This window comes from Homo sapiens, chromosome 19 (assembly GCF_000001405.40).
Source record: "Homo sapiens chromosome 19, GRCh38.p14 Primary Assembly".
NCBI lineage: Eukaryota > Metazoa > Chordata > Mammalia > Primates > Hominidae > Homo > Homo sapiens.
The window spans coordinates 54,754,134-54,768,781 of record NC_000019.10 but is presented as its reverse complement, the minus strand read 5'-3'; the positions used below and the strand labels follow the sequence as shown (position 1 = coordinate 54,768,781).

At 48.1% G+C, this 14,648-nt stretch overlaps 1 pseudogene, besides 1 other annotated feature; it reads right to left on the bottom strand.

Annotated features, from left to right (window-relative positions):
- Positions 901–14,026, bottom strand: KIR2DP1 (killer cell immunoglobulin like receptor, two Ig domains pseudogene 1; annotated as a pseudogene).
- Positions 3,778–4,977: an enhancer, noted in NCBI's record as "BRD4-independent group 4 enhancer chr19:55275257-55276456 (GRCh37/hg19 assembly coordinates)". NCBI's record gives its function as "activates an origin of replication core promoter dependent on BRD2, P300/CBP, MED14 and CDK7 cofactors, and independent of BRD4, by STARR-seq in HCT116 cells {active_cell/tissue: HCT116}" and the evidence as "EXISTENCE:reporter gene assay evidence [ECO:0000049][PMID:35650434]".

Sequence of the window (14,648 nt, the reverse complement as noted above, 5' to 3'; positions counted from 1 at the left end):
AGAGAGCCCCTTAGCAGAAACAGTGTCTAAAGTACATCCGTGTACACACAGTCCCTTTAGAGTTGACAAAGGCTGCCGTGTGGTTTAAGGTGGCATAGAATGTCTTCTCAATAAATAATATTAAACCAATGGGTTATACCTAGGAAAAAATAAATCTAACTCACACTATAAAAACACTTCTTAGTTTTTATCTAGTTGTACATTTTTTATGATTTATATTTAAATTTGAGAAATAAAAGTCATATACGGTCATCCTTCACTATTCGTGGGTGATTGGTTTCGAGATCTCCACTCAGATACCAAAATCTGTAGATGCTCAAGCCTCTTATATGAAATGGCACAGAGTTTGCAAATAACCTATGCACATCCTCCTGTATACATGAAATCATCTCTAGATTACTTATAATTCCTGATGCAGCCTACACACAGCTTCATTTGTGTCCATTCAACACAGTTCTGCTTTTTGTAACTCTGTGGATACTTTCTCTGAATATTTTTGATTTATACTCGGTTCAATAAAGAACTGTAAACCCCACAGATATGGAGGAGTGACTGTATATTTATAGTGTGAAAGATGATGTGTTGATATGTGTCCCTGTGTAGATGAGACTAACAAGGCCTATGATTCTACAAATGTTTCATCTTGGAATGACTCTGCCAGATTTCCAGGTCTGCAGAGAGTAAGAATATCACTTGTTCATGTGATTCACGATCCTTGGAACCTCCTATGTGCTACATCTTTGGATGGAAATAGGAGTCCCAGAGACAAATGAGGCTCCACCCTGCTTCCAGAAACTCAGAGTCCGGGGGTGAGAACCCAGTGGAGAACAGATGGGGTTATGTGGACATGGTAATGATAATGGAAGTCTTAGGCAAGAAAAGAGTCCCATTACCGAAACCATGAGGGCAGACATGTTTATTTGAAGGAGGGAAAACTACATTGAAATTATTTTAAAAAATATATAAGTTTTACTGCTGACAGAAGGCTGAAAGATACTCTGAGGGGAGGTGGAACAGCATGAGGGAAGGTGGAACAGGACGTGTCTAAGTGCCGTGTTAAGAGGGAGCCTCTTGTATGTTTGGAACTGTGAGTTCCTCAGTGTGATTGCAGCCTCAAGTAGACTAGGAAGTAAGCCAGTAAGGTTGGAGAGGTGGGCAGGGGTCAAGTGAAATGGAGAATTGTGGGCTAAGCAAAGGAGTGTGTTTTCTCTCCAGCAGGCAGTGGGGACCTTAGACATTTGTAAGCAAGAGAGAGGCACATTCAGATTTGTGGTGTGAGGAAGAGCGATGCCCTAAGATGCAGACTCACGCCTTCAGATTCCAGCTGCTGGTACATGGGAGCTGGCAACCCGGTTTTGAGACAGGGCTGTTGTCTCCCTAGAAGATCCCCTCAAGGCCTGACTGTGGTGCTCATGGGCAGGAGACAACTTTGGATCTGGACTCAGCATTTGGAAGTTCCGTGTACACTCTGGTATCTGTTGGGGGTGTCTTGGGCCTCTGAGAAGGGCGAGTGATTTTTCTCTGTGTGAAAACGCAGTGATCCAACTGTACGTATGTCACCTCCTGAGGGTCTTGTTCATCAGAGTCCTGGAGAGAGGGAAATCCTGAGTGAGGGAGGGTGCTCACGTTTTCCAGGACTGTTTGGGAATAACACTAGCCACGAGGCTGGGCCGAGGAGCACCTACCTCGCTATTCGCTGTTCTGTTCCCTGCAGGCTCTTGGTCCATTACAGCAGCATGTGTAGGAGACGGAAGTCAACAAAAGAGCTCGGAGGGCACTTCTGGGTCCTCATTTCATAAGCAGATACCAACAAACAGGGGGAGGCCATAGGTGCCTGAGGTCCCTCAGTTGCCAACAGCAGACTCAGACATTCTATCTCTCTGAGCTCAAGGACCCATCCCATGAATAGCTCTGAGTTCCCATCCCATTGATTCTGTCTCCCACTTTCTGCCTGTCATGGAACCTTCTCCTGGATGTGAGTGGCTGCAGGGGACATGAGGATACAGTTCAGAATCAGGCAACGGTCTGTGAGCTGAAAGCAGGGACAGGGAGTCTGGTGCCCTCTCTAGAAAGTCCTGCCTCTGTGGCTGCTGCCTTGGGCCAGGGACCATCCTACCTGTGAGGAACACACACCTGAGTGCTCCCATCCTGCTTCCCCACATGGCCCTGAGCTCTCTGGCCTCTCCTTCGTGAGACTTACTTTTCTTGTTGGAGCACCAGCGATGAAGGAGAAAGAAGAGGAGGAGGATGAAGAGGATGATGACCACTGAGGTCCCAATCAGAACGTGCAGGTGTCTTGGGTTACCTGGAAGAAGATGAGACACCAATAAGAAGCTAATCATAGCAGTTCCTCTTTATGAATTGTCTCGCATTTCTTGATTGACAGGTAACCACGTAAAACACCTCTTTAGGACAAGCACCCAGATGGCGGGAGACCCAGCTTTCTCCTGCTTTCTCAGTTATAGCTCTCAAAGTAACCATAGAATGTGCTGAGGACACAACTACTTTAGTTGAGATGTTTGACCCCTTCAAACCTCACATTGAAATTTCACCCCCATTGTGGGAGGTTGGGCCTCTTGAGAGGTGTTTGGGTCATGGAGGTGGATCCATCATGAACAGATCAATGCTGTCCCAAGGAGACGGGGTTAGCTAGTTCCCCCTCTATTAGTTCCTGGAGAGCTGGTTGTTCAAAAGAACTTGGAAGCTCCATCGCTCCCCCTCCCCCTTGCTCCCTCTCTTGCCGTGTGATCTCTGTGGTCTCTGCACAGACAGACCCTCCTTCCCTTCTGCCAGAGTGGGAGCAGCCTGAGGCCATCACGAGAAATAGATGCTGGTGCCATGCTTCCAGTACAGCCTGCAGAACGGTGAGGCAAACCAATCTCTTTTCTTTAGAAGTTGCCCAGGCTCAAGTGTTCCTTTAGAGCAACAAAAATGGACTAAGACAGCAACGTCCTGAGATCAGGAGGAACGTCCCAGAGCAGCCTGGGCTGTCTTCCTGTTCTTCCTGGAGGAGGACGTCATGCAGTGCTTTAGCTGAGTGCTTCCTGTGGCTCCAGGGTACAAAACCCAGGCTGGGCTGCTTTCTGGCTTCCCCCAGCTACACTGCAAATGGGGTGACTCCATATGTCCCGAGCAGCTTTTCTGAGCCTTGAGGGACTGGCTCACATTGAAATGTAGGCTTCTGTTTTCACTCGCTGCTTATCTGTTAGTAATGAACCTGCCTATGTAACGTATTCTCTGTGTGTTCTGTCTCCCTGGAGTGACGGTGAGTGATAGGAATTGGCGTAGGCCCAGGTGCAGTCTAGGAGGTGTTTAGGGTCTTTTCTGGGAAGACTGCACTGGGATTGACACACAGCGAATGTGCTTTAGGATTTCTACATCCACAGCATTCTTGAGTCAAACAACTTGCGTTCTCCAAGGAAAGGAAACAAAAGTGAAATCAAGATAAAAAAGCGAAATAGAGTTATCTTATGTCCAACAGCCAGGAAATCGTGTTGAAGCCCCTGTGAAACGTCCTACTCTTTGTGATCTCGGGAGACACATGTTAGGCTGCTGTTCTACCTGAGAGGCTGGGGGAAGGACCACCCCCTCCACCATCTATTGCTTCAATACCACCTGTCCTCCTGTGAATTAGTAGGAAAGGGGAGCAGGAGCTAGTGCTGGTGCTGATCTCTCATTCCAAGATCTGGACTCACTCCAAGGAGTATTAATGTTTACCTCCCCATGGTCTATCTGAATCTCCACAGGTGATTGGAAGTAGGGGTGAAGTGGGGGATTTGAGTGAGAGGGCAAGTTTTTTTTGTGATGAACAGAGCACTTTCTCTATTCCACGATCTGTGCTGGAGGATTCAGCAGGCTTTCACATTTTCTATATGGTCTCATGCTCACAGAAAGCCAAATACGGAAGAGGTTTTAGGCTCATTGCCTAATGGATAAGACAAAGGATCAAAGAAGTAATTATAGAGAAATACAAAAATGATGATTGGAATTCAGGTGCCTTTGTCATTCGTGTGTGTTTTATTATATTTATGCATTTCTTATTTTTATTTTTTGAGACGGAGTCTCCTTGTGTCACCCAGGCTGGAGTGCAGTGATGCAATCTCCACTCACTGCAACCTCCACCTCCTGGGTTGAAGTCGTTCTCCTGCTTCATCCTCAAGAGTAGGAGCTGGGATTACAGGGATGCACCACCATGCTCGGCTAATTTTTGTATTTTTCATAGAGACAGGGTTTCACCATTTTGGCCAGGCTGGTCTGGAACTCCTGACTTCAAGTGATCCACCCGCCTTGGCCTCCTGCAGTGCTGGGAATTGCCTTTTCCACGGCCTGAGCATGGGGCCGTGGCTGAATGAGTCAGTGAGTCGAAGTGTGCGTGCATGAGCTCCGTTCTCTGTTAAGGCAAAGCTCTTGCTCTGCTGAGTCAGCCAGGGTTGCTTCATGACCAACAGTAATTCATTCCTGGGCAAGTGGAACTTCTCTAAAACACCTCGCCCTCATCAAATGTTCCCTACCCTTCCCTCTCTCAAGCCCCCAGGAATTTATCCTCCAGTTAGGAATGCAGGCAGAACAAACATTGCATTTTTCCTGAGAAGGATGTCAGATTGCCAATCATTTTTCTAGCTTGTAGGAGATCTCAGCTCCATAAAATGAGAGATTAAGAGATTTCACAGAGCCCTGTTTTGGGTCCAGATCCCTTTCGCTGTTGGAGTATCTGGAGTTTGGAGATGGTAGAAGACAGGCGTACAATGTCAGAGCTGTGAGATGCTGAGTCAACGCCTGAATCCAAGGTTTCCACCTCCCCAGGTTTCCAAAAGCGGATATAAGAGGGTTCTGTACTCACCGGTTTTGGAGCTTGGTTCAGTGGGTGAAGGCCAACTATTTGAAGGGTTTCCTAGAACATGAGACAGGAGAGAGGTGAGGAAATGAGGGTGTCTGTCCTCTACTCAGTGGAAATCTTTGAGGTTGGTTCATGGCCAACACTCTGTTATCTAATATTGGGCCCTGGGAGTCCTGGGATCCTTTTTTCCGTAATTTTTGTATGTGACGGCTACTGTCTTGAGACTTCAAGGTATAAAGAGAAAACAGGAGCATCACACTACCTGATCTCAAAATATGTTACAGAGCTGTAGTAAGCAAGACAGCATGACGTTGGCATGAAGAAAGGCACATAGAACAACGGAGCAGAATGAATAACACAGATATAATCCATGCATTTACCTCCAATGTATTTTTTGTTTTTCTTTTGAGATGGAGTCTTGCTCTGTCACCCAGGCTGGAGTGCAGAGGTGCAATCTCGGTTCACTGCCACCACAGCCTCCTGGGTTCAATCACTTCTCTTGCCTCAAACTCCTGAGTAGTGGTATTACAGGTGCTGACCACCATGCTCAGCTAATTTTTATATTTTTAGTGGAGACGATGTTTCATCACGTTGGCCAGACTAATCTTGAACTCTTGGCCTCAGGTGATCCACCCACCTCGGGCTCCCAAAGTGCTGAAATTGCAGGTGTCAGCCACCATGCCCAGCCCATCCAATGGACTTTGACAAAGGTGCCAAGAACTCACAATCAGGAAAGGACAGTCTTTTCAATAAACAGTGCAGGGAAACCTGGACATCGACATGCAGAGGAATGAAACTGCACCTCTGCCTGTCACTATACACAAAAATCAAATGAAAATGGATTAAAGATGTGAGTCTAAGGCCTGAACCTATGAAACACGTAGAAGAAAATATTGGGGAAATGCTCCAGGACGTTTGTCTGAAGGAAGACATTTTGTTTTAAACCTTCAAAACACAAGTAATCGAAGCAAAAATAGACCATTGGGATTACCTCAAACTAAGCAACTTCTGCACCGCTAAAAATAAACCAACAAAGTGAAGAGACAACCCACAGATTGGGAGCAAATATGTGCAAACTATGCATCTGAGATGGGATTAATAACTAGAAATATAAGAAGCTCAAACAACTCAATAAAACAAATGATTTAATTGAAACAGGAGCAAAAGACATGAAATTTCCCCACATACGAAAAAGTGCTCAGTATCACTCATCATCAGAGAAACACAAATTAAAATCAAAGTGAGTTTTCATCTCACCCCATTAAAATGGCTTTTAGGCCGGGCGTGGTGGCTCACGTCTGTCATCCTAGAACTTTGAGAGCCTGAGGTGGGTGAATCTCATAAGGTCGGGAGTTTGAGACCAGTCTGACCCACATGGAGAAACACTGTCTCTACTAAAAATACAAAAATTAGTCGGGCGTGGTGGCGTGTGCCTGTAATTCCAGCTACTCGGGAGGCTGAGGCAGGAGAATCGCTTGAACCTGGGAGGTGGAGGTTGTGGTGAGCCGAGATCGCACCACTGCACTCAGCCTGGGTGACAAGAGCGAAACTCCATCTCAAAATAAAATGAAATAAAATAAAATGGCTTTTAGCTGCAAGACAGGCAAAAGAAATGCTGGCAAGGTGTTAGAGAAAGGAGAATCCTGGTATCCTGTTGGTAGGAGTGTAAATTAGTACAGCCATTACGGAGAAAAGTGTGGAAGTCCTTTAAAGAACTAAAAAGAGGTTGGGTGAGGTGGATCATGCCTGTAATCCCGGCACTTTGGGAGACCGAGGCGGGCACCTCAGTTGAGGTCATGAGTTTGAGAGCAGCCCAGCCAACATGGGGAAACCGCATCTATACTAAAAAAAACAAAAAGTAGCCAGGCATGGTGGCGTGCGCCTATAATCCCTGATACTAGGGAGGCTGAGGCAGGAAAATCATTTGAACCCAGGAGGCAGAGGTTGCAATGAGCCAAGATGACATCACTTGTACTCCAGCCTGGGCACAGAGGGAAACTGTCTCAAAAACAAAAACAAAACAACAAACGAAAAACTAAAAAGAGAACTTTCATAGTATCCAGCAATTTCACTACTGGGTTTATATCCAAAGGAAAGTAAATCAATATATCGAAGTGATATCTGCACTCGTATGATTGGTGCAGCACTCTTCACAGTAGCCAAGATGAGGAGTCAACCTACCTGCCCATCAGTGGGTGAATGGATAGAGAGAATGTGGTACATTTGCATAGTGGAGACTACTCTTCCATAGAAAGAAAAACATCCTGATATTTGCAGCCACATGGATGGAACTGGAGGTCATTACAAAGATTCCCATTTCTTACCCATATACAGGAGCTAAAAGGTGGATCTCATGAAGGTAGAGAGTAGAATGGTGGCTACCAGAGGCCAGGAAGAAAAGGGTGGAGGGTAAAAAAAAATATGTGTATATATATATATATTAATGTATTTATGACCACTAGACTTTACACTTAAAAATGGTAAATGTGGCTGGGCGTGGTGGCTCATGCCTGTAATCCCAGCACTTTGGGAGGCTGATGCGGGTGGATCACGTGGTCAGGAGTTCGAGACCAGCTTGACCAACATGGTGAAACCCCCTCTCTACTAAAAATACAAAAAGTAGCCTGGCATGGTGGTGCGCGCCTGTAGCACCAGCTACTCAGGTGGCTGAGGCAAGAGAATCGCTTGAACCCAGGAGGCGGAAGTTGCAGTGAGCTGAGATTGTGCCAATGCACTCCAGCATAGGGGACAGAGCTAGACTCCGCCTCAAAAAAAAAATGTTAAAGGTGGTAAGCTATATAGGTATATTTATCCTCAATAAATATTTCTCAAACAAAAGTAAAGGGTGTAGGGGTTGCAGGTGATGACATCCCTGTGTGGGTGGGAGGCCAGGATGGGCTTCTGGGAAATGGGTAATGTTGAGGGGCTGAGGGAACCTCTGATCTTCCCAAACTGAGCCCAGTCTCCCTCCTCTGGGTCTCTCCTGACCGCTTTCTCCATCTGCCTGGGTGCCTGGAGTCCTGGCCGCAGGCCTTCATGCAGGCCATGTAGGAGGGTTTGGAGGTGCCCTGTCTGCCATCCTGTGCCCTGATCCCTCCCTCACACCCAAGCTTCGTCTTCTCTCTGCATCTGTTCATCCTTCTCTCCATCCTCAGCAGGAAGCTCCTCAGCTAAGGCTCTAGGATCATAGGACATGGGACAGCCATGGGCTTTCCTCACCTGTGACAGAAACAAGCAGTGGGTCACTCGAGTTTGACCACTCGTAGGGAGAGTCACGGAAAGAGCCGAAGCATCTGTAGGTTCCTCCGTGGGTGGCAGGGCCCAGAGGAAAGTCAGCCTGGAATGTTCCGTTGACCTTGGGCCCTGCAGAGAACCTACGTTCATGGGCCTCCCCCTCCCTGGATAGATGGTACATGTCATAGGAGCTCCGGGAGCTGCAGGACAAGGTCACGCTCTCTCCTGCCAGAACCGTGGGGCCCGGCTGGGCTGAGAGAGAAGGTTTCTCATATAGACCTGGAAGGAGAAGAGGCATTTTCCTTACGGAGGATCTTCCTTGTCACAGCTCCCTTCACCTGAGCTGAGAACTCACTCCCCTGCTCTATGACCTAATGCTCTCTCTCTCTCTCTCTCTCACCCTCCACCCCATCTCTCTTCATGTCTATTTCCTCCTTCCACCTTCTCTGTCTCTCTAGGTCTCTGACCTCGCTTCCACACCTCTAGATATGTTTTCCCTTTTTGGATTGTTTTATTCTCTCTGACTCTCCTTGGATTGGTTGACTTGATGTTACTTTTTTAAATTCTAAGTTTCTCACTTTGTGTCCTGTTCATAACTTTCTGCATATTTCTATCTATTATCTATCGATCTATCTATTTATCTATTCGGTGCCTATCTACAAATTCTCTACCTGTCATCTATATCTATATATCATCTATGTATCTATCACTTGTCTATCTATCCATCAATCATCTGTTATCTATATCTATGTATCATCTCTCTCTCTATGACTTCTGTCTGCCTCTCTATCTCTATGTATTATCTATCTGTCTTCATCATCATCATCTCTATGTCTCATCTATTAATGAATCAATCAATCATCATCTATGTATCTTTAACCTATTATCTATCATCTACCTATTTATCATCTATCTATATCTATCCATCTATCATCTGTCTTGCTCTGCCTCTCGGTCTCTCTAGTTCTCTTTGGAATCTCTGCAATTCATCCCCACATCTCCATCTTTCTATGTCCTTGTGCCTCTCCCTCAGGAGTCTAATTTTAGTGCTTTTCTCTGCTCCCTTCCATCATTCTCACCACTCCTCTGCCCTCTTTTCTCTCTCTTTATGTGTCTGTGAGTCTCTCAATCTCCTTCCTCTGGCTCATTCTCTGTGTGTTTATGTCTTTGCTTTTTGGTGTCCCTGATTTCTCTCTGTGCCTCTCAGTGATCCTTTCATATGTGGGGTTATTTGGAATGTGAGCCTCAGAATCCAGTCTGGAGACCACAAGTTCACACAGCATACAGGAGTTGGTGTTCTGGGGCCATGATATCCTGGGACGGTTACTCTCCATTACATGGAAGGCAGAGGTGTCAGAATAAACACGGCATCTGTAGGTGCCACAAGGCCTGAGGCCACAGGGCCCAACTCAGGTCAGAAATATGGGTGTCCTTGGGTTCTCCTGGTAGAGAACACTTTGTGGAGGTAAAACAGAAATGAAACTTCTAACCTGTGCCAGGTCTCTGAGCAAAGTCAGCATGGAGGGACACCTCTCTCTGGGACATGTCTGTCTGTCTGTCTCCTTTAACTCCTTCTGTCTTTTCTAACTCCCGGTATGGCCCCTGTGTCTGTCCTCTGTTATGACACCTGGTCTGTACTTGTGTCTCCTGTTTCTCTGTCTCTGTTGGTACAGACCTCACCAAGTCAGTCTCTCTCCATAAGAATACCAAGCTCATCTTCCTTACAACTACCTGGGGGTTCCAAGTCGTGGATCATTCACTCTGCATCCCAATGACAATGAGAAGAATGTCCGGACACTCTCACCTGTGATGACGATGTCCAGAGGGTCACTGGGAGCTGACAACTGATGGGGGAGTGAGTAACAGAACCGTAGCATCTGTAGGTCCCTGCCAGGTCTTCCATCATGGGACCGATGGAGAAGTTGGCCTTGGAAACCCCATCATGGTGCTCTCCAGTGAGGTGCAAAGTGTCGTTAAACTTCCCTTCTCTGTGCAGAAGGAAGTGCTGAAACCTGACATCTGACCAACATTGCAGGATGACTGTCTCTTCTGATTTCACCAGGGGACCTGGGTGGGCCAGGAGGGAAGGTTTTCTGTGGACTCCTAGGAAGAGAGGTTGTGAGTTTAGAAGGTGTCTCTCTTTATCATCCCATCCATGGCACCTAGAATGAGTGAGGCTTCCCCTTGCTGGTGTCTGTCTCTCTCCTTCCTCTCTGTGTCTTCATGTTCTTTTCTGTGCCCATAACTCCTGGTGCAGGTCCTTCCATCTGTCTCCCTCCCTCTTCTCTGTCCCTCTGTCTCTAGTCGCCTCTGATTCCCTTCCCACTGGGCTTAGCCTCATCTCTTGGGGTGTTGTATCTATTTCACACTAATGTCTTTCCTGCTGTTTATGTGGGGGTGAAAGAGGAACCAGGATAGGCTGCACATCCAGCCTCTTATCAGCCTGGTTCAATCTCTTTTGGATGAATTGGAATCCTTGGCAGTAGGTATGAACTGATGAATAAGGCAGGCACCAGTGTCCACACACCCTGTTCCTGGTCGGGACTGGGAGCCACTCTTGCCATGCCTGTGCCTTCTCCATGGTGCCAGCTTCCATAGGCTGGCTCCTGGTGCTGGTTTGAGGAGTATCAACCCCTCCCTATGTGGATGGAGCCTGGTGGTGGCATCATCATCCCACACTTGCTCATCTCGGTGTAGCCAACCTTCCCCTTGTTTGGTTCCTTTAATTAATTAATTAATTATGGAGACAGAGTCTCACTCCTTCACCCCAGCTGGAGTGAAGTGGTGTGGTCTAGGGTCACTGCAACCTCTGTCTCCTGGGTTCAAGTGATTCTCCTGCCCTCAGCCTCCCAAGTCGCTAGGATTACATGCGCCTGCCACCACACCCGGCTATCCTTGTGTTGTTTCTTACCTTGTCCTTGACCTGGGTTCCAGTGTTGGTTTCCTGTTGCTGCTGTAGAAAATTATCAGAAGCATGGCAGCAGGAGAGAGCACACTGACCCATTTCACTACTGGAGACAGAAATAGGACCCTGTTTTTCCTGGGCTAAAATCAAGGCATCTGCAGGGCTTCGTTCCCTCTGGAGACTCTGGAGAATCATTTCCTTGACTTTTCCAACCTCTACAGGCCACCTGCATTCATGGCTCCTGGCCTTCCTCCACCTTCAAAGCTGGTGGAGTCTCCCATTGCGCTGCTCTAATCCCCACTCCCCTCTTCCTCCTCCTTTCATGTGGACCCTTGTGATTACACTGAGCCCAGCGGGACAGTCCAGGCTGTCTCCCCATCTCAAGGTCAACTCATCAACAACCTGAGCTCCATCTTCCCCTTCAGTTCCTTCCCCTATAACATAAATAGTCACAGACTCCAGGGATTAGAATGTAGTCATCACTGGGGACAATTATTCTTCCCACCACAGCACCCATTTCCCTGTATTCAATCCCCCTTTACCCCAAATATAGTCAGGGCCTGGGTGATGGGACCCTCAAGGACACGCCCACCAGAAGCTCTGGGATTCAGGAGGTGGGAAAGGAGAATCCAAGACAGGAGCCCTCTGACCTGTGGCCATGATCACCAGGGTGTTGCTGGGTGCCGACCACCCACTGGGGTAGTGTGGGTGTGAACCCCGACATCTGTACGTCCCTGTGTGTGCTGGGGTCACAGGGCCCATGAAAAGGCTCTTCCAGAATATTCTGTTGTAGAGCTCAGTGCCAGGCACCCCATCTTCCTTTTACAGACTGAAGTTGTTAAACCCAAGATAAGAATGACACCGAAGAATCACATGTCCTGGAGGCACCACAGAGCTGGGCCAGGCAGACAGCAAGGGCTTGTCCTGACCACCTTGGGGAGAAGGAGGCACCGCCTTAGAGAGGAGGATGTGGAGCCACCCCTCCCTCCCTGTGCTCTGAAGATTCTCCTCGCTTTCCAAGTTTCTATGGCTGCTATCACACCTTGGTGCCCAGGGCTAAAGGAAGGACCCATCCCGCAAACACAAGGTGTCTCCCTACAACAAAAGTGTCAGCTGAGAACTTTGAGCAAGTGCTGAGTAAGAGACTCCTACTAGATTTTAATACTGTAAGATTACTCACATAAAACAACACAGGGTAGACATGGGGTGGAGGGCATGTCTTTGAGAATGGAATATCAGCAGATGCCTGAATGAAAATAAGCAACTGAGCCCCCATCAGAGGATTTGGAATGTCAGGGCCATGGCTGTGGTTTCCCACCTCTTCTGGTGGAGTGACAGCAGCCACACTGCAGCCCCTACCGTCATGGAAACGCTGAAGTGTGAGTAACACCTTTGTCCTCAGAGGATCTGCTGTTCCTACCACTTCCCCACCACGCACCCCAGCTTTGAGCACCCCAGTCTAACCCTGGTCCCCACAGAACTTGACTCTGCCAAGGGAATGAAAGGCCAGGGAGGCGAGGTCGGAACTGTGGGCCGAGCACCCCAGGGTCCCCTCTTCCTAGTTTATGAGAGGCTCCCTGACAGGACTTCCCTCCTGTTTCAGGAAAATCCTCTTATGTGGGGAGATGACACCCTAAGGTTTGGAGAAGGACTCACCCTCATGTGGCCAGGCCCCCTGCAGCAAGAAGAACCCTGGAAAGAAAGATCATGATGGACGATCCATCTGCAGGCAAACCAGCCCTCCCTTGCTGCCCTCACTGGGCTGTGAGTCTTGGTAGGCAGGCCCTTCCTGGACTGAAGTTAAACTCACCCTCAGTGCCTACCTGCACCCAAGAACAGGGCTGTCGGCTGTGCAGAGACCCAGCCTCCAAGCCCAGATCCCCACCACAAGCCCATATCCCCACCACAAGCCCATATCTCCACTCCAGGCCAATATTTCCACCCTAGGCCTGTATCTCCACTCCAGGCCCATATCTCCACTCCAGGCCGATATTTCCATCATAGGCCCATATCGCCAATCCAGGCCCATATCGCCAATCCAGGCCAAGATCTCCACTGTAAGCCCATATCTCCAATCCAGGCCCATATCTCCACTCCAGGCTCAGATCTCCAACCTAGGCCCATATCTCCAATCCAGGCCCATATCTCCACACCAGGCCCATATCTCTACTGAAGGCCAGTAACTCCACCTCCAGGCCCATATCTCCACTCCAGGCCCAGATCTCCACCCCAAGCCCATATCTCCACCCCAGGCCCATATCTCTACTGAAGGCCCGTAACTCCACCTCCAGGCCCATATCTCCACCCCAGGCCCAGATCTCCACCCCAAGCCCATATCTCCACTCTAGGCCCATATCTCCTCTCCAGTCCCATATCTCCACAACCAGGCCCATATCTCCATCCTAGGCCCATATTTCCACTCTAGGCCCAGATATCCACCTCTAGGCCCATATCTCCACTCCTGGCCCAAATCTCCACTCCAGGCCCATATCTCTACTATAGGCCTATAACTCCACCTCCAGGCCCATATCTCCACTCCAGGCTCCTATCTCCCCTCCAGGTTCCTATCGGCACTCCAGGCCCAGATCTCCACTTCTAGGCCCATCACTCCATCTCTAGGCCCATATATCCACTCCAGGCCCAGATCTCCACTCCAGGCCCACAACTCCACCTCCAGGCCTATATCTCCACCTCTGGGCCCAGATCTCCAACCCCACACTCCCTTCCTCTATTCCCTTCCAGGACTCACCAACACACGCCATGCTGACGACCGTGAGCGACATGGTGCTGCCGGTGCAGACAGGCGGCCGTGCCCCAGCTCAGCTCAGCAGCGCACAGGATGTTATTTGGCGCCCTGCCCATGCAGTTTACATGTTGACCACATCATGGGAGGGTGACGTACGCAGGCTCATTCTACCTTGCATGAGGCCCAGTGGGTGCTCGCTCAAGAGCGGAACACGGCTTCCTGGAAATTGTTCTCACTAGAATTTACACCTAGCGTCCTTCACTATGACCAACTCAAAACACGTCTCAGATCCAACCTCCTGAACACGAGATGCCTAAAATCTGTGCTAACGTGAAAGACTTTTCATGTATTTTTATTGTTTTTATCTGAGATTCAAACTCTTCTTCATGTGTAATATGCAAAATATTTAATAGGTATTATTAAGGTTTTCAGAGTCATTGTGACTAATAAACCATTAGAATTTTTCATGCTTGTATTTCTAGTATTACAGCAGAACCAGTTAAAATGATTTAAATTCCCAGGGAAGGATTATGCAATTATTTACAATGTTAGAATTGTACTTTATCAGCAAAAACCACACCTGTAAATTCTGGAGTTTTGTAGTTTAATCTAAAATTTGTCTCATGACCCAAGATTCCAGAGTCCCAACTCTGGAGTTTGATCTCTCTCTGTCTCTCTGCCTCCCTCATTTTAAATTTTACAGAAATATCCAGTAACATAATGCTATAGAAAATCAAGTTTCCCCAGCACGTCGGGAAGCCGAGGTGGGCGGATCAACTGAGATGAGGGGATTGAGAGCAGCCTGGCCAACATAGTGAAACCGTGTCTCTGCTAAAAATCCAAAAATTAGCCATGCCTGGTGGCAGGCACCTGTAACGCCAGCTACTCAAGAGGCTGAGGCACGAGAATCGCTTGAACCTGGGAGG